This window comes from Homo sapiens, chromosome 5 (genome assembly GCF_000001405.40).
Source record: "Homo sapiens chromosome 5, GRCh38.p14 Primary Assembly".
In the NCBI taxonomy this organism is placed as follows: Eukaryota; Metazoa; Chordata; class Mammalia; order Primates; family Hominidae; genus Homo; species Homo sapiens.
The window spans coordinates 160,679,680-160,704,566 of NC_000005.10; the positions used below are offsets into that span (position 1 = coordinate 160,679,680).

Here is a 24,887-nt window from a genome sequence, read left to right on the forward strand (position 1 = left end):
TTTGCCATGGCAATGCACACACTAAGTCTTGAATTAAAATTTGCTGAATAGATGAATAAGTGAGTGACCAGCTGCTGAAACTGTGGAGGGCTTAGGTTTCATTACAATAAGGAACCACCCTGGATTCCCTCAGTTCCCATTCCCTGCTCTGTACTGCATGTTTTCTGAATACAAATAAAAATTTACTAAGCTGGATGGAAAAATACAAATCTGTGGCTGGTATGGTTTCTAGATTCATTAAACTGAGCCCTGGGAGAAGCTAAACTAATACAATTCTGAAGCTAATCTCTCCTCGAAGTCATTCCATAAATCTGATTAATGGGTCACCTTTAGACCACAAACACGGTTGCTATATTAAAAGAAAATGCTCTAACGGGATTGTAATTCTGTCAACAAGGCTTCTGCTGTTTGTAAAAAGACATTTCCTCACAGTATAAACAAGTCTAGGGTGGATGATGCATGGGCTTAGGTCATGAGCAAAATTCCAAGGGCTCTAGTATTCAATTGCACAAAAATGAAAAAAAAAAGCATCAGTTGCTCAAATGTGTAAATTTGAGGTGAAATAAATAAAATGGATAGGGCTAGGGCATGAGATGTAATTTCTTATGTTGCTTCCCAGAAAAAAAAAAATTGTCCTCTTAAATCTTGTATTCTTTTCCTGACATCTGTCATGTGTCCTTGATATGGCAAAAGGATATGTCTTTTAGCATCCATCAGTTAAGATAATAACTAACACTTATCTATTTAATAGCATGTCTTAGCTTCCTCTGTTGGGGTCTTTCATAGAATCAATCCACTTCAGAGGTGGAAAAACTTTAGGGACATATAGTATAGAATGTCCCAAGATGTGTATATTCCTGCTAATACGTGGAAAGCAATTTACAAAGAGTCAAGTCTCAAAAATATTTTAAAGTGATAGTGTTGAGGACATTGAGGTGGCTTCTCCAACATCTGTTCCTCATTCTGCTGGAAACTATCTTATTTTTAAAAAAACTTTGGCTTTTACATCTTCCTGGAATGGCCCATAGGCTTTCAGGGAAGCTGACTTCATGCTGGGCTCTGTGGGTGGGGACTGTGGCTCAGGTATAACCTAGTTAGTACAATCCCATCTCTTGCCCCTAGGGATTGGTTTAGGGATGAACAAGTGAGGCCACTGAGATGTGAGGAGGCTCTAGGGAGTAGTAAGCTTCCTTGACCTTCCAAGATGGCTACCAGAAGTGTCTTTCTTTCTCTTTTCATACATGATCACATGTAGATGTGAGGGCTGGAGCTGCTGCAGCCATTTCGTTGCCATGAGAGAAGTCTCCCTGAGAGTTAAGATGACACTGAGGAGGGCTGAATGAAAAGGATTGGTGAGAGCTGGATCTAGGACGCTGATTGAACCATGCTGATCACCCTCCTACCTCAGGACACTTGTAATGACTTAAGCCAAGGAAGTCTCTTCGTTGTTTAAACCTGTTAAAATGGAAGTTTCTCCTACTTGTGGCAAAGAACATCTCAACTGACAGCTGGGTTAAACAAAGCTGATAGGCTACTTACTGAGGGTCATCCTAGAACCTTTATTCTATTAATGTGTAAATTTATTTGGCTATGGGTTCTGTTCTTCCTCAGTCCATCTCACAGGACAAGATCTAGTCTGACTCCCAAATTTCACAAAAGTGGAAACTGAGGTCTATATGTTTAAATGACTTTCCTAAGCTATTAATAGTTAGTCTGAGATCTGGGCCTAGACTACAGGCCTCTGCCTCCCAGGCCTGCATTCTTACCTCAAGGTCATACCCTCTCTCTGTCCCTTGAGGATGAACTTCAAAAGAAGAACCTAGGGCCAGAAGTGATGGCATGCCTGCAATCCCACCTACTTGGGAGTTTGAAGAGGACAGCTCAAGCCAAGTTCTAGACCAGCCTGGGCAACGTACCAAGACCCCTGCCCCCACTGCCCACCTCAAAAAAGCATCAACAAAAAAAGAAACTTATTATTCTTTTGCAGAGACTCCAGATTTCTAGAATATTTTGAAGCAAAGTTTGCAAGTTTTTGGGCTCATAAGCAAAATAGAACTTTAGGTTTCAAAAAAATAGGTCTGAAGTGTTTGAAAAAATTACATCAGTTACAAAATAATATAAAATCAGTTAAAAGTCAGGTTATTTCAAATAAAAATATTAATTTTTAGCTGCCCTAATAAAGCTCAGACAATCTGGCAACAACACTAGGCCTGTACTTCTACATAATAACAATTAGCAGAAGCTAAGTGACCAGCTCTGCCTCCTAGGATAAATGCATGGCCTCCCCACTTTGCCATAGTCACCACCATTCCCTATTGCCTCCTAACACTGATGCCAACTGTCATTGGCCATTTATCAGTCCATGAGTAATACTGCTTTTTATAAACTATTCAGTCCATTTAATTACCTATCTGGTCCCTGTAGCCAATTATTTTTGTATACTTGAAAAAGTAAAAATTCCCAAACTTAGATATTAAAAAATATTTCCAAAGCCCAGTAAATGTAAAGCAACACTGAGTTAATCAAAGATGAACAGGTTTCTTTGCTGTGTCTTTTCTTAGTCCTTCATGGGCTATGGGTCCATTGGAGGAGGGCCAGCATATATAATTTGGCCATGCACGTATTTTTTCGGAGACTATTTCTTTGTCACTGTTATTCCACTGAATACACTTTGGGAAATACTGCTATGAAAACTCCATGCTCCTCCCTGCCAGTGAGCTGGTGGACTAATGTTTCTTTTTTCTAGATTGTTATCATCTTGGTTTTCCGATGTTCCCTGGAAGCTATTTTGGAAACAACAACAGCAGCCTGGCCTAGGTCCTGCCAGCTCCCAGCACAGATGAGTCTGTGGTCTAATCCACACTGAGATTATTCCCAAGAACCAGGCCATGATTCTGCGATATTCTGGCAGAGCGAGGAGAACAGGACCAGGCTCACTGCAGCCCACGTGCATTCCTCCCTGAGGCACCAGCTTCCTGGCTTGCCACTGTGTATATTCCATGGAAAAAAAACAAGACAGTAAGGTGGAAAACAAAAAGTGACGGTGGATTGGTGCCAAAAGAAAAACGATGCTTTCTCGGCCGGGCGCGGTGGCTCACGCCTGTAATCCCAGCACTTTGGGAGGCCGAGGCGGGCGGATCACGAAGTCAGGAGATTGAGACCATCCTGGCTAACATGGTGAAACCCCGTCTCTACTAAAAATACAAAAAATTAGCCAGGCGTGATGGCGGGCACCTGTAGTCCCAGCTACTCGGGAGGCTGAGGCAGGAGAATGGCATGAACCCGGGAGGTGGAGCTTGCAGTGAGCTGTGATGGCGCCACTGCACTCCAGCCTGGGCGACAGACCAAGACTCTGTCCCCCAAAAAAAAAAAAAAAAAAAAAAAAGAAGAAGAAGAAAAGAAAAAAAAGAAAAACAATGCTTTCTCAAACACCGCTTTTTCAAAGGAAGGCATCACACCCCAGCAGTGATTTCATCCTCTCTTTATAATTTTCATATTCAAAGGCGAGGAACGACTAAATGTTAACTCTGGCTGTCCAGTGTGCTCATAACATTCAAGACAATTGGATCTAGCTGGAAAAAAAAATTATCCTTCAGATTAATTTTTCTAAACGTGCAACTGTGTCCCTCCAAGCAAAGAGACAAGAAGCTCATTTGCTGCTGAGGGATGAACATGGAGTTTCTTGCAGGGGTTCTTGGATGATATTGGTAAATACCATCTAAAGTCATTGTATTAGATACTCATCTTGGAGGTTTCCCCTGGCTACAATTTTCCAAGTGGAGTTTGACTCATAAATCCTTTCAGCAGCCAGCTCTAAGCTGGCCACCTTTCACTCCCCTGGAGAAGAGAACCCCTCCTTAGAAGTAAGCAGTGCCTAAATGGCTGGAGTACATACCTCGAAGCAAGCCTCTTTCATTCTAACAAGGACCAGAGCCAGTGCGGAATGTCTGCTGAACTGGGCTGGAGAGTCAAAAGGAATGAGATGGCCTAGGGTGCTGCTTGTGAGACATGGATGTTTTCCTTCTTCAGCAAGAAGTCAAGCTCTTACCTGCTAGAGACTCCATCATCTTAGGCTGCCAACTGCTAGCTCTGAAGGTGCTTTGTCCCTCTAGTCTCTCTGTGAGCCCAGACTCAACTCCCTTGCTTCTTTTAGGACTATGTGGGTTATCACAAAGTTGAGACACACTCTAACTCTGTCTTCTTTCCTTGCCAAGTGAGAGCATGTCCTATCCTGACAACCTAGTTTAGTCATTTGCTCAATGAAACCTTTGTAGAACAATGACATGTATAAAATGACATTAAATAAATGTCTAATGACATCAGATAGTCCAGTCATCCTAGAGTTTAATTCTTCAGATTTCAACTCACCCTAAAAAATATTGCATCTCTGTGCTTAATAATATGAGCACTTACACAAGTTAAAACAAGGTTTCTCAGCTTCAGGACAGGTGGTGTGCAGTCTTTGCTTTGGTTAAGACAACATCAGGGAGAACTCCCAAAAACAGAGTTAGTGATGAAGGAAACGTTGGGTTTGACATTCTAAAAATAATGCAATTTCAGCTTGCATTTACTGAGCATTTGTTGTATGTCATACACTGTGCTAAGTATTTTCTAAGAATTATCTCCTGCAACTCTCACAACCACCTCAGGAATTGTTCAAATTTTAGGAATTACAAAATGAATTTCAGAGGTTATATTGCTTGTCTAAAGTCAGGCAGTTAGTAAGTACTGGAGGCTGTTCAACTCAGGCAGTGTGTCTCCTGTTGTGCTTCTCCTAACACAATACTCCATTGCTCCCCCAAATACAGTGATGCCTCTTCCCTCCCAGTGTCCTCAACCAGCCTTAAATGTGCTCATGGCCACACTGGGTTAAGAGGAGATGAGAATATATGCAAAACTGTTAAATGTTAGACACATTTGAAATAGTGAAGAAAATGCTACATGATAAAGACCTCCTAATTTTAAAAGACTGACTCAATCCTCCTTTTTTCTGGATTGTAGACTATAAAGCTCACTGTAGAGAACTGAACAGCTTCCCTGAAATAAAATAATGATATCTCCCTACTCCATCCCTTCTACAAACAGTAACTGCAGTGATAGCAGCCACAAAAAGATCAGGCTGGGCCCAAGACTTCCCCAGAGTTTTTTGCTTTACCTGCTGTAGATGAGGCACTCTCGGTTATTGATGACTTTATCCGATTTGTACCTCCGGAGGTCTTCCCAAGCGTCCTTGATGGCAGTGACTGCCAGGATAACACAGATTGGTATCATGCTCACCTCAGGCTGGAAAGCATTGACCACAGGGATAAAATTCAGAACCGCAATGCCCACAAAATAGAGATTGGCAAACCGGTGTAGCTGCTCAAAAATGTTTTTGGGGACGAAGGACAACACGGTGTACTTGCTGGTCTTGATTTGATTCCCACGATGATGTCTGTTGGGGTTCTCTTTGTGAGACCATCCTTCAAAGAGCAAGTTAGAGACCACTACTCGCTTCTTGTCTTCTTTTCTTTTCCACCTTTTCCTCCCTTCCTTTTTCATCTCTGCTCAATGTTGTCTTTTTAATTCTCATAATTTAATTTTCATCTTTTACTTGCCTTCTTTGCTGAAAATTTTTCTCTCTTCTTTCAGAAGGATACTAAAAATGAAAAGCCAGGCTGCAAACCCCAGGGGAGAAACATGACAAGGAAAGAGCCTGCAGAGAACAGGTGTGTATCCACCAGGCCACTTCCTTCTACTTGTTTGAGACTCCACCTGTTGGAATGTAGACGTCACCTACAGGTGTCTTCCTTTTCCACCCTGGGCAGCCAAGAACAGGTGTACCAACTCTGGGTCCTAAAACCTACCTGGTTCTAAAAGCAAGAATTTTCAACCCAAGCAACTGAGGCTTTAAAATGGCAGACATTTTCTTGGTTTGGGAGACACTGCCTGACATCCTCCAAAGAGTTTCTCCTGAACTTAGTCTCCCAAGATAATCCAGCCATCCTAGAGTTTAATTCTTAAGCTTTCAACTCACCTTTAATAATACTGCATCTGTGTGCTTAATAATATGAGTGCTTATACAACTTAAACAAGTTTTCTCAGCCTCAGCACTATTGACATTTTGACTGGTTAATAATTGTTCCCCGGTGGTGTCCTGTGTATCGTAGGCTATTTAGCAGAACCCCCGGATTTTACCCACTAGATGTCAGTAGTACCCCCTACTCCCAGTATGACAACCAAAAATGTCTTCAGACATTACTAAATGCCCACTAGGGGTCGAAATCACCCCCCCTTGAGAATCAGTGAATTAAATAATTTAGGAAAATAAAATCGAAGAAAAGAGACTCATCCTGAGGCTATGCTGATGAGTTTGCCTAACCCATTTGCAAGAGAGAACACAGGGATGGTTTTTCTTACCTTTCATAAATTCGAATGTTGGAGCAGTTTATTGCTTTATCAAAGCGGTGTCTCTTGAAGTCCTCCATGCCATCCTTGATCATGATGACGAACAGGACAATGGCCAATGGTAACATGGTGATTTCTCTGTGGAAGACTTCCATGGAGGGCATCCAGTTCAAAATCACCAGGAACAGGAAATAGAGGTTAGCCCATCTGGAGGGGCAAGCGAAGTGTGAATAAACACTATGGAGAAGAAAAATGTACTTTCTCCCCCATTTCTTCCCTACTGTTTGGCCTTGATCAATTAAACCTTCTCTTTCAGTATCACCTCAAACATTATGGTAATGGATTTGAAGCCAAACCCATCTAGATGTATTTATTATTTCCATAGATTATTGGGGAACAGGTGGTGTTTGGTTACATGAGTAAGTTCTTTAGTGGTGATTTGTGAGATTTTGGTGCATCCATCACCCGAGCAGTATACTCTGCACCCAATTTGTAGTCTTTTATTCCTCTCCCCTTCTCACCCTTTCCCCCTAAGTCCCCAAAGTTTGTTTTGTCATGCTTATGGATGAGACTGGAGATGATTATTCTCAGGAATGGAAAACCATCTAGATTTAAATTCTGTTCCTGTTATTTACTCGTTGTGTGATTTTTTTGAGCTTATTTCCTCTTGCACAAAATGGGGATAGTATTATGGACTTTAAAGGGGTCCCATAAATATTACATGATTTATAATATTTGCATGATATACAGCAGAGGGCTCTGGAGCATAGCAGTTGCTCAGTAAATGGTCACTTATAATAATAATTACAATATTGAGGGTGATATATAAGCACATATTTTAACTTTTAATTTAAAATGATCTCATACATTATCTCAAAAGAGTTGCTGATGTTTTCAAGTTTTCCACGTGCATCTTGCTCTCTCTTGCCACAGTGCCTTTGCATGTACAGGTCTGTCTGCAGGAACATTCTGCTGACTTCTGTCCATCCCTTTTCACTCAGGTAATGCAGTCTCTCTTTCATGTTGTACTTCAATTCCCTGACTTTCTTAACTAGGCCAAGATTTCCTTATTATTCACTATAATAGCACCATATACCTCTCCTTAGAAGTATCTATTGTAGTTACAACTTTATATCAATTTATATAATTAAAAAACTAATGTCTGTCTCTTTTACTAGACAATATATTCAATAAGGACAGTATCTCTCTGCCTCTCCATTTTTTTTATGTATCTCTAGCTCCCAGCTTATGGCCTGAGACAGCATAGAACCTGACAAATATTTGTTGAATGAAAGAATGAATGAAAAAACTTCTTAAGACAAATGCATTTGGATATTAAAGGAAAGGTGGCCCCCAGAGGGTAGCATCTCTGAGTTTATCTAAGTGGTAAATACTTGTTTAAAATATGTATTGGTGGCCGGGTGTGGTGGCTCACTCCTGTAATCCCATCTCTTTGGGAGGTTGAGGCAGGCGGATCACTGGAGCCCAGGAGTTAGAGACCAGCTTGGGCAACGTGGCAAAACCCCATATCTACATAAAAGTACAAAAATTTGCCGGGCATGGTGGTGCACGCCTGTGGTCCCAGCTATTTGGGAGGCTGAGGTGGGAGATTCCCTTGAACCCAGGAGGTGAAGGTTGCAGTGAGCCGAGATTGCACGACTATACTCCAGCCTGGGGAACAGAATGAGACTCTTTCTCTAAAAAGAGTATTGTTCAGACAAGTGGATCTCTACCTATGAAATTGCTCAAAGAGATTCCGGGGCAGGAAGGTGAAGAGGGTGTATTTGGTTGTGCAGGTTCTGTTGCCAGGGTATCTCCTGGAGACCTCTTCCCAATCTTGATGGAATATGCTGTTGTTGGGGAACACGACCCGCTGCTGTGTCAAGTTGTAGCTCTGTCTCCCTTTCTCTGGAGAGAGCAGCGGTGTGGTTTCCGATGGACAATGGGGGAAGCCATCTCTGACTCTCCACTGCCACCGATGCCACGATGAGTCCACTGAGAGGGCCATTTCCAGCAGCAGGCGAAGATCTGAAAACAGACACAGGAGGAGCTATGTTTAGGAGAAACGTGCAGCATGTTGGCCTGTTCATTTCTCCCCCATCCATGCAGGGTAGACACTGAAAGTAGTCTTAACCCACACTTTGACCTACTTCCTTGTAACTAAAGGTCACTAGATCCTGACCATTTGCTTCCCTGTTGTTCCTAAAGATAGGATTTCTGACATTAGAGTCATAAGGATTTTGTTTAAGATTGAGTATCTGAGGTTAGAATCCCTATGTTCTAGGGTGACACACTAAACAAATAATCACATAAATAACATGCTCCTAACACTGGAATACGTGCCATGGGAGCATTGAAGTGGGTGGGACGTGCTTTTGGCCTAATTGGGGCTGTCAGGGATAGCTAAAGTGTGGCTTGCTGGGCTATGACCCTGCAGGTCAGAAGACTAGCTCTGGTTCAGTCCTAGTGGGGAGCTGTTCCTTCACCTTCAACTGATCTCCAGCTTCCTCACTGTGAAATCAGGAACACTATTCTTTCTATACTTATTCCACAAGATTTTTGTGAGGAACAAATTGGATAGTACAGAAAAATATATTGGGACACATCTTAAAACAAAGGAAAAGGTACCTATTCTTTAGGTTTTCTTTGGCGCTAACATTTTCTGATTCTGATGACATTTTCCAGAAACTCACCTGTGGCCGGAACCTCAAAGGAGAGTGATAAGTAGAATAGATGGGAGAGGTTCTTTCCTAGGAAATTTGTCCATGAGGTGACTGGGCTGTGCTACTGTCCAGTCAGCTGGCTTTTCTTAATCTAGATGGCTGGAGTTGGGGATAGGGGATCCCTTTTCTTTTTCTCCACTCCATTTGGTGGTTTCTGAAACCAAGTACTTGATTAAGCAGATGGTCTGCCCAGGTGGCAAAGAAATGCTGCTTTACAGCACATCAAAAAGCTTGTCCACCACCATCGAGTCAGCTTCATCCCTGGGATGCAAGGCTGGTTCAACATACACAAATCAATAAACGTAATTCATCACATAAACAGACACCATGACAAAAACCATATGATTACCTCAATAGATGCAGAAAAGGCCTTTGATAAAATTCAACACCCTTCATGCTAAAAACTCTCAATAAACTAGGTATTGATGGAAAGTATCTCGAAATAATAAGAGCCATTTATTACAAACCCACAACCAATATCATACTGAATGGAAAAAGCTGGAAGCATTCCCTTTGGAAACCAGCACAAGACAAGGATGCCCTCTCTTACCACTCCTGTTCAACATAGTGTTGGAAATTCTGTCCAGGGCAATCAGGCAAGAGAAAGAAATAAAGGTATTCGAATAGGAAGAGAGAGAGTCAAATGGTCTATGTTTGCAGATGACATGATTGTATATTTAGAAAACCCCATATTCTCAGCCCCAAATCTCCCTAAGCTGATAAGCAACTTCAGCAAAATCTCAGGATACAAAATCAATGTGCAAAAATCACAAGCATTCCTACATAGCAATAATAGACAAACAGAGAGCCAAATCATGAGTGAACTCCCCTTCACAAATGCTACAAAGAGAATAAAATACCTAGGAATACAACTTACAAGGGATGTGAGGGACCACTTCAAAGAGAACTACAAACCACTGGTCACACAAATGGAAAAACATTCCATGATCATGGATAGGAAAAATCAATATCGTGAAAATGGCCATACTGCCCAAAGTAATTTATAGATTCAATGCTATACCCATCAAGCTACCATTGACTTTCTTCACAGAATTTGAAAAAACTACTTTAAATTTCATATGTAACCAAAAAAGAGCCCATATAGCCAAGGCAATCCTAAGCAAAAAAAGCAAAGCTGGAGGCATCATGCTACCTGACTTCAAACTATACTACAAGGCTACAGTAACCAAAACAGCATGATACTGGTACCAAAACAGAGATATAGACCAATGGAACAGAACAGAGGACTCAGAAATAATGCCACACATCTACAACCATCTGATCTTTGACAAACCTGACAAAAACGAGCAATGGGGAAAGGATTCCTTATTTAATAAATGGTGCTGGGAAAGCTGACTAGCCATATGCAGAAACTGAAACTGGACACCTTCCTTACACATTATACAAAAATTAACTCAAGATGGATTAAAGATTTAAAGGTAAGACCCAAAACCATAAAAACCCTAGAAGAAAACCTAGGCAAAACCATTCAGGACATAGGCATGGGCAAAGACTTCATGACTAAAACACCAAAAGCAATGGCAACAAAAGCCAAAATTGACAAATGGGATCTAATTAAACTAAAGAGCTTCTGCACAGCAAAAGAAACTATCATCAGGGTGAACAGGAAACCTACAGAATGGGAGAAAATTTTTGCAATCTATGCATCTGACAAAGGGCTAATATCCAGAATCTACAAAGAATTTAAACAAATTTCCAAGAAAAAACCAACAATCCCATCAAAAAGTGGGCAAAGGACATGAACAGACACTTCTCAAAAGACGACATTTATGTGGCCAACAAACATATGAAAAAAAGGTCATCATCACTAGTTGTTAGAGAAATGCAAATCAAAACCACAATGAGATACCATCTCAAGCCAGTTAGAATGGTGATCATTAAAAAGTCAGGAAACAACAGATACTGGAGAGGATATGGAGTAATAAGAATGCTTTTACACTGTTGGTGGGAGTGTAAATTAGTTCAATCATTGTGGAAGAGAGTGTGGTGATTTCTCAAGGATCTAGAACCAGAAGAACCATTTGACCCAGCAATCCCATTACTGGGGATATACCCAAAGGATTATAAATCATTCTTCTACAAAGACACATGCACACGTATCTTTATTGCAGCACTCTTCACAATAGCAAAGACTTGGAACCAACCCAAATGCCCATTAATGATAGACTGGATAAAGAAAATGTGGCACATACATAGCATGGAATATTAGGCAGCCATAAAAAAGGATGAGTTCATATACTTTGTAGGGACATGGATGAAGCTGGAAACCATCATTCTCAGCAAACTAACACAGGAACAGAAAACCAAACACCACATGTTCTCACTCATAATTGGGAGTTGCACTATGAGAACACATGGACACAGGGAGGGGAATATCACACACCAGGGCCTGTTGTGGGGTTAGGGGCTAGGGGAGGGATAGCATTAGAAGAAATACCTAATATAGATGACGGGTTGATGGGTGCAGAAAACTACCATGGCACAGGTATACTTATGTACACAAACCTGCACATTCTGCACATATATCCCAGAACTTAAAGTATAATAATGATTAAAAAAAATGCTGCTTTACCTAGGAGTTTCCAGTTTCTGAACTCTTTTAAATAAACCCTACAAGCAAACTCTCAAGGTTCTTTTTGGCCAAATTTTTCTTAAAGACCCAGAAGGATATTATTCAAAGATACATTTTATAAAGTTAGAAGTTGTATATAATGGTCCTTCTCATGTAGTAGGCTCATAGGATAATTTTCTTTTGAATAAGTGGATGAGTGAATGTCAAGTACTATTAATCTTACAATTAATTACCCAGCTTGTCATGGTAAATATGATCACTTAGGAAAAAAAGTTTTATTTCTAGTTTAAATGGTAATATTTTACTTTCCTGATGCCCATATGATCTGACCCTCATCATAATTCTTCTCATAGCTTTCGTCAATCCAACTGATTTTCAGTCCACAGACCCCAAGCCTGCAGGAAGCTCTTCAGAGACTAAGTAAGCCCTTGTAGCAAGCCTGAAAAGGTAAATGTAATTACGGATGCCTATCATAATGTGACCAAAAGCAACCTTATAACATTTAGCAAGCTGGAAATAATATTGTGTATCTTCTTTGCTATTATAAAAAATGCACCTTCATGGATTTCTTTTTTACTGCAAAGGAAAAGGAAATGAAAAGATAATTTATGAATAGCATTGAAAATGCAAATGAGAAATCTTGCCTTGGTTAATGCCATCCATATCAGACTTCTCTCACTATTAGGTGGTAAGATCTTCTTAAATGAAGAGATTGGATTGATGTGGGAAATGTAGTTATTTTCGGTGGAGTAGGATTAAAAGTCCATTTATCATAAGAATAGTCTTTACTTTTTTTAACCATGTAAGATGAGCTTCCTTAAAAGTAAAGCAGATATAACTTGGATGCCAAATTAGTGAATGAAAGTTTGATGAGGAACTAAATATTTATATAGTTTCAAAGTATCCTCCCCCAATATTATTCATTATAATGATAAAAAGAATCACTTTTTAGTGGAGAAATGTGGCAGACACCACCTTACAACAGAGATCAAAGCAAGTATTGAAGCTGTCCTCACAGGGCTAACAAGAATTCTGGACAGAAATAGAGTCATAACTAAGCATTAATCAGGCTGCACTTTGACCTACTTCCTTGTAACTGAAAGTCACTAGATCCTGACCATTTGCTTCCCCATTGCTCCTAAAGATAGGATTTCTGACATTAGAGTCATAAGGGTTTTGTTTAAGATTGAGTTTCTGATGTTAGAATCATAAAGCTTTTGTTTAAGAATTGCTGAAGATGTTTTTCAGATTCTGAAGTCCGGTGAAACAGCTGACGCCAACCAGTTTGAAGACCCCACATAGGAACAGAATCAGCATGAGGACAGTTTCTTCATCTGTCTGTCCTATGATTTCACCCTGCACTCTTTGACCAATCAACAATCTTCACACTTCTGCCTGTTCTAAAACTCTTATAAACTTTAGCCCCAAACTCCTCACGGAGGTGGATTTGAGGTTTCCTCCCATCTCTTTATTCGGTAGCCCTCCAATTAAATCTCTTTCTCCTGCAACTTGACATCTTGGCATATTGATTTGCTGCACATATTGGGCGCTGGACCTATTATGGCTATAGTATCACAAATATTGAGATAAAATGACATCTTTTGCCTCCTGATATGATGTATTGAGAACATGAGTTACCTCTCTGGTAGAAACACTAAAAAACCTCAAATTGGGGGGCTATTCTATAAAACAACTGGCCTGTGTTTTTCAAGTGTAAATGGTCAAAAAAGGGGCAAAATAATTGTTTATGATTAAAATAAACTAAAAATAAAAACTAAATGTAATGCATAATTCTCGGTTGAATCCTATACTAGAGGAAGATAAAATAGGTATAAAGGGCATTATTGGACAATGGGCAAAATCTGAATATAAACTACAGTTAGGTAATAGCATTTTAACAATCTCAAATTTCCTGATTTTGATAATTATATTGTGGTTATACATAAAAACACTCTTGGTTTTAGGAAATCCACCCCAAAGTATTTAGAGGTAAAGGGCAAGATGTTTCCATGGGTCAGAAAACACACACACACACACACACACACACACACACACACACACACACACACACACAGTGGTATAGTCAGGGAAGGGCTCGTGGGAAAAGGAACATTTATTTAAAGTTACCTGAAGAAACGCAGGAGTTAGCTAGGTAGAGAGGTTGGGGAAGAGTGCTCCAGGTAGAAGAACGAGTTCCAGAAACGGGAAGAAGTTCCTGAGGTGTTGCATAGAGCAGAGGTCTTCAACCTTTTTGGCACCAGGGACTGGTTTCATGGAAGACAATTTTTCCATGGACAGTGGTTGGGGGATAGTTTTGGGATGAAACTGTTCCACCTCAGATTATCAGGCATTCCTTAGATTCTCATAAGGAGGGCGTGACCTAGATCCCTCGCATGCACAATTCACAATAGCATTGCATTCCTATGAGAATTTAATGTCTCCACTGATCTGACAGCAGGCAATGCTCGCCTGCCACTTACCTCCTGCTGCGCAGCATGGTTCCCAACAGGCCATGGACTGCTATGGGCCCGTGGCCCAGGGACTGGGGACTCCTGGTGTAGAGTACATGGAACGGGAGACAAAGAGTGGGCAGAAGCTGAGGCTGGAGAGACAGCCCAGGGTCAGATGGCCTGCTGAGGCTGTTATGCTGAGGGCAAGAGAGAGTCTGAAGAGTGCCAGGGAAATGACACATTGTGAGTGCGGATTCCAAGCATCATTCTGGCCGAAGCACATAAGGGTGGGCTGGAGGGACCGAAACTGGGGGCTAGAGGCAGCTCTTTGACCCACTGCCCCTCTCCCCTCCAAATAAAATACTTCTTCCTGAGAGTGGAACAGGAAACAAAGAGGGATTGCATAATCCCATTATCTGAGGTGTGGTTTATTGCTGCCTGCAGAAAGTTTAGGGTGGGGCACACCTGAAGAACTCCCTAAGTTCCTTCCAGTTGTAAAGCCTTTGTCTCATTCTAGATTTTTGAAATGGCACCTCCCACTAAAAATAACTTGAGGATTACCTAATTTTGCTAATTTATACTCAGATCACCTCAGGCTTGAAGTGATAATCCTCTCAAGCACCAGCCTTATTCTCTTCTAGGTACAATGTCCTCTAGATGATAAGAAGACAATCCTATATGGGGGACCTTTAGCCTAACAAGCTGGGCTAACTTCAGTTTTTTGAGGAATTCTGTTTCTCTCTCCCAAACTTTCTCCACGTTACCTGGCTCACATTTCCAATTGACTCCAGTTCCTTTCTGTTTCATTTTAATGAGCCCAAATAAACCCCATCTCTAGCAAGTTCCATTTTCACTGTTACGGGATAAATCAACTAGTCATTCATTCAATCAACAAATACTTATTGAATCCTCGTTTATATACCAGGTGAGTAAAACCTACCCATGCATCCCTTTCTGCCTGAGCTTACATTAGGTGTCTGGGAGATTTTAAACATACACGTTTAGAAATAAATATATATTCACCAACCAGGAAAAGTGCCACTGTCAAAAGACAAAATCACAACAGGTTTAAAGATCTTAATTAACTTTATTTTTGGTTCTAAAATTGGGCAGCACTTCATTTCATAAAATATAATCAGCGTTCCAATGAGCTGAGCAGAGGAGATTGGCTTTATAGAAAGGGCTGAAGAAAGCAGAAACACAAAACAAAAATGATTTCGTCATTTCAAAATTAGTTTCCTTGTAAGGGAGGAACAGGAAACAGAACAATAGAAAAATAACTGACTGGGTAACATCAGGTTACTTTTATTGTAAGGATTAAAGGCAGGGGCAACTTCCTTTTCATACCAATTGAAACTGACCTATTTGGGAAATTATGTCTCTCTCTTGATTTCTCTGAAGGTTGATAACAATTTAGTTTTAGTTTAGTGAAAATGACTCCACTCTAATTTTTAGTCTAGTCTGTTGGGGCCTAGCTTTGTCCAAAACAATGGCCTCCTGTAATTTTTATTTAATACCACAAAAGAGAGAGGGTGCAGTGAGCACATTACAGAGGGATGGGACCTTGTGTCCCAAGAGGTGGGGCTTGAACTGAGATCAGGGAATGAGTGAGAGGTGGCTGGATGGAGTACTACTGTGTGTATATATGCGTGAGTGAGTGTGTGTGTGTGTGTGTGTGTGTGTGTGTGTATGTGCTGTGTTTCTGAAAGTAAGCATCCTAGGAAGACAAAGCCATAGTTGCAAGTCTTCTGTGGCTACAGTAAACATGTTGACTTCAAGAATGGATAGAAGACCCAAGTAGGCTAAAAAGCAGAAATAAGTCTTTACTAGAGAATTATTTTTCCTCCATACCCAATTCTCTAAAAAGCATATCAGTGGGTTAGGACTATGGGAGAAAAATCTATAAAATTAAGTTTAATCTATACTTAGATTATTGATAAAATAATATAAAACCCTGATATTAGAATGAATTAGAATTTTAAAAAGTTTGGCCTTCAGTTAACTACAGGCGTTTTTAAAGCACTCTACCCTGAGGACAAAATGTGTAAATCGCAGGAAAAAAAAAGAAAAGATTTCCTATTAGATATCTAGTTAACAAATAATAACCACTGTAGAAGAAATAGTCTGGAGTTAGCAGATCTTCAAATCAATAAGTATATCAGTTTTTCACAAATTACAGTCATTCTTGAATCATCTTCTCAATTTTTACCACACCCAAATAGCATTTTTATTAAATGCAATATATTTTACTTTAGGTGAACTCACTTCTCAAAAGCTTCAATTTTTTTTTCACTGAGATAGTCTCACTCTGTCGCCCAGGCTGGAGTGCAATGGCATGATCTTGGCTCACTGCAACCTCTGCCTCCCAGGTTCAAGTGATTCTCCTGCCTTAGCCTCCTGAGTAGCTGGGATTACAGGCACCCGCCATCATGCCTGGCAAAATTTTTTGTGTTTTTTTGTAGAGACACGGTTTCCCATTTTGGCCAGGCTGGTCTTGAACTCCTGACCTCAGGTGATCCACCCACCTCAGCCTCCCAAAGTGCTGGGATTACAGGCATGAGCCACCATGCCTGGCCAAAAGCTTCAATATTAACTTTGGTTTTGAGCTAAACCTTAATACCAAAATGAAGTGGTTTGACAGTATTGATATGTTTTTTTAATAGGCACTGACAGGAACTACTTTTATTAAAATAAAAACTCTTGATCCCTTATGACAACATTGGCCTACACCTCTATGTCTCTATTTGCTGTTCTGGGAACCAGGTTCAGAAACATCACCACTCACCCAGAAAGGATCAGTCATTTCCATTATTTGTGGCTTACCTACTAATGCAGGAAAGGCTGCTAACATGGTTTGCAAGTTTCTTCCCCTCAACACAAAGTCAAAACAATAACAACAACAACAAACAACAGGTTTTTCATCAACCCTGAATTCAATAAAAAAACTCAGTGAGCCAGATTCCTATCCATGCACCCAAGCATTGTAGTAGATCAAGGAATGATTTGCAGTAAAACAATCTCATCATAAATTTCTTATCCATTTTGCTTTTTCTACTTATTTTGATTGGATTTGCTTGAGGAATGACCATCACTTAGTCTTTTACTGATTTTACCGAAACCCATTTACAGAGGAAGAAACAAAGATAAGGGGAATAGAGTGATTTCTCTGTAGAACTTGTCATTTCTTCCTAATCCATTTCAGTAAAAGCTATATTTATTAGAATACAAAATGTCCTTTTTCCACATTTTAATAAATTTTTGAAACTAGATTGTTTCACACAATTGCTATGTTAGTGTTTATTTACTTACACTCACAAAGTATTATTAAATTGATGACATTTTAGATTCAAAAAAGATATCTAGTTGCAGACAAATATGCCAGAAAACAGAAATTGCCATTTGAAAGACCCTCCATAAGTTTTGTAGTGTGGACCTGCCCAGGAAAATTCAGTGAGGCCTTCGTGGGAAAGGAATAGTCTTAGCGGAGACCTTATTCTGCAGTGGAGTTTGGATAGGCTAGAAGACTTGGGGAAGGCCGAACTTTAGCATTCCCATTTGCACTGTACTCAGCTACAGGCATCTACATATAGCTGCTTGTATGGAATCAGTTCTTATGAGCACAAAAAAGTGCTCTGTCCTTCCCAATGGGAAGAACAAGAGCTGTGATTGTGCCTTATTCACAGGCTACAAAACATGTCCTATAATTAGGATGCCAGAAGCTGACTTCCTCTAGAGAGAAAGAAACATTAAGAAGAAATGTATGCAGGGTGGGGTGGGGTGGGGATTGTTGTCTTTGGTTGGTAAAAGTGGGGACTAGTGGAAAAGAGAGAGTGAGAAAGAAATAGCAACCACCTAAAATAAAATTAATGAAAGGATGCAGTTCTGTAGAAGATAATTAAAATACATGATAAATGTAATCCTATAGAATGGGCCTTTGTGGGAAAGGAAAGATGGAAGGAGAGTCTGTTCCATAACTCAAGCATCTTCAGCATGCCACACTCAGCCCTCATCACTAGTCCTTGAGTCAATTAAAGCTTTTAACCCCCGATTGGTTTTCTCCTAGCTCCCCAACTCATAAGAGCTTTACTCCAACAGATTTCCAAAGATGAATATTTTTTTAACAGACAAGAAAATATTTCTCATCTGCCACATTACACTTTATCACCTGCCAAGTTCATTAGAGTTTAGAGTCTCACAAATTATCTTGCAAGCTAGTCTCCAATTTGGTGTATTTGGAGCTCGGATTTCTCCCTCGAACTTTACATCAAAATATCCTACTGCTTATGTGCCATTTCTACTTGTTTTCTAGGTATTTCAACTTTAACATTGTAAAACTCTTGGATTCTCTCCAAAATTCACTTTAGTTCCAGGAGTACCCATTTCCGTGAATAGCATCTCTGTTTACCTTAATGACTTAAGAGTAACCTTTGACCTCTCTTTCATTTACTACAGCCAATCTATTTTTAAGTTTTATCCATTTTTTCCCTTTAAATATTTTTCAAATCCATTTTCTTCTTAACCACTGCTCCTGGCCAAGCCACTATTTTTAAGTGTCGCAGATACTGTTGAGATTAATATATTATAATTTTATTCAAAGGCATTATTAATTTTATGGTAGGATTTGCAATTATATATTTTCTCGATTAATTAATACCAGAATTATAGCTACTATCAGGCAGAAGTTGTAAATTCTTTGATGACAGAAGAGATCTTTCACACACTGGTGTGCTAAAGACATTTGGACACATTGGTATTGTAAAGGGAGCCCAGAACTGAAAGCAGGGTACAAGGTGAAGTGCAGAGAGGAAAATCAGTGATGCAGAGTCCCTGACATAATAAAATGGTTGGGAGATGAGATATATATATATACATGGAAAGGTACTGAATAGGCTACCAATGGGAAATTGAAAGAATGGCAGACAGTAAGGACCAGAAGTTGTTAGAGATGTAAGAAAACACAGTTGACTGAGAAGGACAAGGCAAGCGTCTTGGGGAAGTAGAAATAGCCAATTAGTGAATTAGAGAGTTGAGTAGCCAGAGGCAGGCGTGAATCCAGAAAGCACAAGAATAGGCAAATGAGAAGCTTCACTTCTCATCCCCATGTCAGACCCCCTGAATCAGAAGTTCTGGGGATGGGGGTGGAAAATCTGCACTCTTCACCAGCTCCTAGGTCATTCTAATGTAGGGGTTGCCAAATAGCAAATCTGGAGAGACACTGCCTTTTATGCTCACCTATGTGTTCTCCCTTGAAAACTCGAACTACCTTTTCCCATTTTCTTCCCTTTATTCTAAGCCTGATCTCCCAGGTATCTTCCTAATGAAAGGCAAAATATCTTGGGAAATAAAAAGACAGTGCAGGCAATATTTCCTTTGTGAGAGACAGGTAAAATGAGATGCATAATTTCATTTTTAACATCCCTCTAGGCAGAAATGTGATTTCACTTAAAAATTGTTTTATAGATTCTTTTGGTATGTTTTACTGACAAAATAATTAAGTTGGATCTAATTAAAAGTAAATAAATCTCTCACAGAAGCTGGATGAATCAGTGCTGAGCTGAGAGGTGATAAAAGTTGTTCAAAGTTCATGAAGCTGAAAGCAATTAAAAGACAATAGTACACATTGACTGGCTCAGTTCACTTCAAACATATCCATGGTCTGTGAGTTACATACCAATTAGTACACCCCGGAAGAACTGAGGTGGGGGCAGGCATGGAGCAAGATCTGGGAAATTTTGGAGCAGCTTCCTTAATGGACTAGGCATCTGGCTTAGCACAGAGAATGTGGCACCAGATTTGTGAAATGGAGTGAGAAAAACTGATATGATAGTGGCTGCCTTCAGAGTTTTCCTAGGGAAGGAATATACTTTTAATCAGCATTTGGGGTAAAAGGCAAAGGGACAAGAATTAAGGAGAAAAGGAAAAGGGGGAGGGAAAGGGAGGGCAAATTAGCTGGCAAAAGCATGAGAAATAGAGATAAGATGGTAGCAGGTTTGGTGTCTGTGTTGGCAGAAAAGGGCAGAGAGATTTTTTAAAAAGTCAATATTCACTTAGAAATATGTAAAATATTATAATATAATATAATGTCCTTCCATGTTACTTTAAAATTGTTAGTGAAACTTCACAAAATAGAATTGTCAACTATGAAAGGCATCATTTGACTGGGGGTCTAGAAGTCATGAAGAAGGGGCTGTCCCCTTCTTTGGTTTCAGGCCAAAGGGAAATGATTAAAGAAAAGCCACAGGAAAGAGTGGAGAATGAGAAATACAGAAAATTCTGGAAATCAGAACCAGGGATGACTGGGAAAAACATAAGTCCCAGAGGAATTTTAGAAGTTGTGGGGGAAGTGGCACTGGATGTTCCTTAGGATCTGGGTTGGGGATTCAAGTGATTTCATCTAAGCGTTAAAGGACAAGGTAAGACAAGCCAAGATATCTGGCTTCTATATCCCACTAACCAGCTGTGTGGCCATGGGCAAGTCATTCTCCCTGGGCCCTAGTTTCTTCCTCTGTAAAATGGGAGAATTGGACTAAGTAATCCTTAAGACCCATATACATCTCTAGCACTTTCATCTCAAGTTTAATTCTCACCTCGACTTATGTCAAGTCCAGGGGGATGCATGACCATGTTAAGGGACATTTCCAGAGGGCAGACTATTTCTTCCCCAAACGGCAGCCTGGACTCTCCATGAAAGGTAAGTGATCTCACAGCACATAATTGCTAAGTAGCTGCTTCTTTTTTCAGAAATGGAGAACTTTTCATTCCTCTGTTTTGTCTGAGTTACTTTTTCATAGGTGCTTTGGGCTGGACATTCTCACACTTCCAAAAAATAGCAGAACCCTCTCAACTTTATTATTTTTCCTCTTTTATTAGATTAATAATAACAGAGTTCTCAAAAGGTCTCCGTGTTTCAAACTTCTAGTCCCAAAGTAGGGAGGAATTTCAAGAAAGATCCAACTGTCTATTGAACATTGCCCCTTGGATGTCTCCTGAGAACGTCAATCTCAGTTTGCCTCCAAACAGCCTCAGTATCTTTACCCCTACATCTGCACTTGCCCCCTATTACCTCTCTCATGGAATGGCAACCCTACCCTTTCGGTTGCCCAAGACTTTGATTCCTCTTTTACCTCTCATATCCAATCAATTATCAAGTCCTGTTGGTTGTAAGCCATTACATGTGTGTCTGTTTGCTTCACTCTCCTCTGGACCCATTGCCACACACCCATCCAGGCCACTCTCATCTCTAGCTGTGCTTACTTGGCCTCGTGATTTGTCCCTCTGCTGCCAGTTTTGCCCCCTCTAGTCTCTTTTCCACAGTGAAATCAGAAATACTTCGCCAAACTCTAGATCGACTCATGCCATCTCCTTGCCTAAAATCCTCTCTGATTTTAATTTCCCTCAGACAGCATAAGGAACAAAACTTAAACATAATTTACAACTCCTTCCCCTCATAAACTAGACACAGACTTTCTTCCCAGCCCTGTCTTTTGTTATCCTCTCTTTTACATTCTAGTCATAAGGAAATTATTTTGTGTCCATCTTTCTCTCCCACTGACACACCATCATTACCAGCATGCTGTAACCCACTTCCCATGCTCAAAAAGCCTAGCTAATTTATGATTGAGGGGCTATGTGTGTGCTCCACAGTACTCTTCCTTATCCCATTTTAGCCCTTAGTTCTGGGTAGTGAACCTCTGTACAAGTCTGGATTGAGGGATTCTACAAGGCAATCACCCTTCTACCCTAGAGCTGCCTGAGAGCAGTCACTACTCTACCCTCTACAGTGCCTGCTGGAAGTAGTCACCCCCTCCTACCCTAATGTCTCCTGGGAGCAGTTACTCATCTATCCCAGTGCCTCCTGGGAATAGTCACACCTCTACCCAATGCCTTCTGGGAACAGTCACCCCTCTGCCCCAGTGCCTCCTGGGAGAAGTCACCCTTTTATTCTAATGCCTCCTGGGAAGTCACCCCTCTACCCCAGTGCTTCCTGGGAGCAGTCACCCTTCTATTCTAATGCCTCCTGGGAGCAGTTACCCCTCTGCCCCAGTGCCTCCTGGGAGCAGTCATCATTCTATTCCAATGCCTCCCGGGAGCAGTCACCCCTCTCCCGAGGGCCTCTTGGGAGCAGTCACTACTCTACCTCAGTGCCTCCTGGGAACAGTAACCCCTCTACCCCAGTACTTTATGAGGTCAGTTGCCACTCTAACCCCCAGTGCTCCTGGGAGCACTTACCCCTCTACCCTATTGCCTTGTGAGGACAGTCATCACTTTACACCTCCTTCCTAGGTACAATGACTGACAGACACTAAGAAATACTTCACTTATTTGATAAACAAAAAACAATAATTTGTAATTTAAAATTATTTAAAAATATTTCAAAGAAACTTATTTCTATTATCTCATTTTATTCCCCAAATAATCCTATGAGGTAAATTGGGCTTGTATTGTAATGGTTCTTTTCAGCCGTAGGCATTAAATTCCTCAAAATCTCCAGTTAGAAGTAACTGTGGTTAAGGAACTTGAGAAATCATAATAGAAGTTCCCTGTTTTTGGACCAAATTTTGGGAGTATAACAAAAAACATTTTAAGCAAAACAACCACGGTAGCATGCAAAATAACGTCAATATAAATGACACTTATTCATGTAATTAACAATGTGTATGATGCAATTTCACTTGGGATCTCCTCCTCAGAACTTTTTAATGCTTGCCTCTCCTGACACAAGAAACTTGAAATTAATTTTGTTTGTAGCTAACATCTGTTATGAAATATTAAATAAAAATTATTTTGATTTTATGACTCAGGGCTTTTGACTTTTGTCTCCTTTGATCTGAGGGAATTATGAAAAACTGAATTTTTGAGATTGGTGAATTACTGGGGAAGTGTTTTGAAACTCCTTTCCCATTATACAAGATTACAAGTTCTTAACTCTGTTCAGGAGAATTTCTGGCCAAGATACTTGTAACAGGATGCTCTGTCTCAGGAAAGGCTTTCCCAGTAGAACCAAGGTACACTTCTAAGAATACAATTCACCTGCTTTCAATATTATTTATCTTTTAATAGTAGTTTATGCCACCTCTATTTTCTATATACCATTTTTATTCTTACCTAACCCTTTAGTTTCCTCTTTTCTTAAAAATGACTTGATATTTGCATATGCTAGAACTGAATATATACTGGAACTGAAACTGTTGGGGTCAACTAGAAGATCTGCAGAAGCAAATTTGTTCATACTGGATTTTCATATGTGATGAAATTGTGGTTTGGAGGATGTGACTGTGGGTAATTATTCATTTTTCCATATATTAGAGATGAATCTGATTGCCCTTTCTTCTGAAATATTTATAATAATTTATTATGTATATAATTACATATAGGCGTAACTCGGAGACTGTGGGTTTGGTTCCAGAATACGACAATGAAGTGAATGTTGCAATGAAGTGAGTCACATACATTTTTTAGTTCCCCAGTGCATAGAAAAGCTATGTTTTATACTATACTGTAGTCTATTGTGTGCAATAGCATTATGTCTAAAAAATACATAGCTTAATTAAAAAATACTTTATTGCTAATAAATGTCAGCCATCATCTGAGCTTATAAAAATAGTCATAATCTTTTTGCTGTTGGAGAGTTTTGTCTTGATGATATTTGTTTTTTTTTTTTTTAGATGGAGTCTCACTCTTGTCACTCAGGCTGGAGTGCATGGTGCGATCTTGGCTCACTGCAACCTCTGCCTCCTGGATTCAAGCCATTCTCCTGCCTCAGCCTTCTGGGTAGCTGGGGCTACAGGCACCTGGGTAATTTTTGAATTTTTAGTAAAAATGAGGTTTCATCATGTTGGCCAGGTTGGTCTTGAACGCCTGACCTCAGGTGATCCATCAGCCTTGGCCTCCCATAGTGCTGGGATTACAGGTGTGAGTCACTGTGCCTGGCTTGTCTTGATGTTATGGCTGTTAACTGATAAGGGGGGTGGTGACTGCAGCCTTATGAAATGTATTTCTTAAGTAATAAGACTTGAAAGTTGAGATTACGCCTTCATCCATAAACTACAGAATGAATATTATGTTAGCATGCATGAAAACAACATTAATCTCCTTGTACGTTTTCATCAGAGCTCTTAGGTCACCAGGGGCAGTGTTAAGGAGTAGTAACCTTTGTTATTGTTGTTGAGAGACAGGATCTTACTTTGTCACCCAGACTGGAGTTCAGTGCCATGATCACAGCTCACTGCAGTCTTAAACTCCTGGGCAATCCTCTCACCTCAGCCTCTTTAGTAACTGGGAGTGCCATGATCATAGCTCACTGCAGTCTTAAACTCCTGGGCGATCCTCTCGCCTCAGCCTCTTTAGTAACTGGGACTACAGATGTGAACTACCATGCGTGGCTATTTTTTTTTTATTATTATTGTTCGTAGAGACAGTTGCCTATGTTGCCTAGACTGATCTTGAACTCCTGACCTCAAGTGATCCTTCTGCCTCAGCTTCCCAAAGAGTTGGGATTATAGGCATGAAACACTGTGCCAGGCCAAATAGTAATCTTTTGAAAAAATTTTTTTATTTTCTTTTTCTGAGTAGTAGGTCTCAACAGCAGGCCTAAAATATTCAGTAAACCATGCCATAAACAGATGTGCTATCCTCTAGGCTTTGTTGTCCTAATTTACAGAACACAAGCAGAGTAGATTTAGCATAATTCTTAAAGACCCTAGGATTTTAGGAATGGTAAATGAGCATTGGCTT

The 24,887-nt window shown here is 40.2% G+C and overlaps 1 protein-coding gene across 15 annotated transcripts in view; it reads right to left on the reverse strand.

Annotated features, from left to right (window-relative positions):
- Positions 1–24,887, reverse strand: part of ATP10B (ATPase phospholipid transporting 10B (putative)) — a 366,241-nt gene that overhangs the window by 116,560 nt on the left and 224,794 nt on the right. For 10 of the 15 annotated variants that reach the window (XM_017009252.2, XM_047416995.1, XM_011534468.3 and 7 more), the window contains 2 exons: positions 8,121–8,415; positions 6,400–6,594 (listed from right to left, as the gene is read on the reverse strand). In XM_017009252.2, the coding sequence (XP_016864741.1) occupies positions 6,400–6,594; positions 8,121–8,395 (470 nt within the window). In that variant the 5' untranslated portion in view covers positions 8,396–8,415. Of the gene's footprint in view, positions 1–5,155; positions 5,713–6,399; positions 6,595–8,120; positions 8,416–9,080; positions 9,265–24,887 lie in introns of those variants that run through there. The other 5 variants (XM_047416996.1, NM_001410822.1, NM_001366658.2 and 2 more) reach the window with 2 other exon arrangements.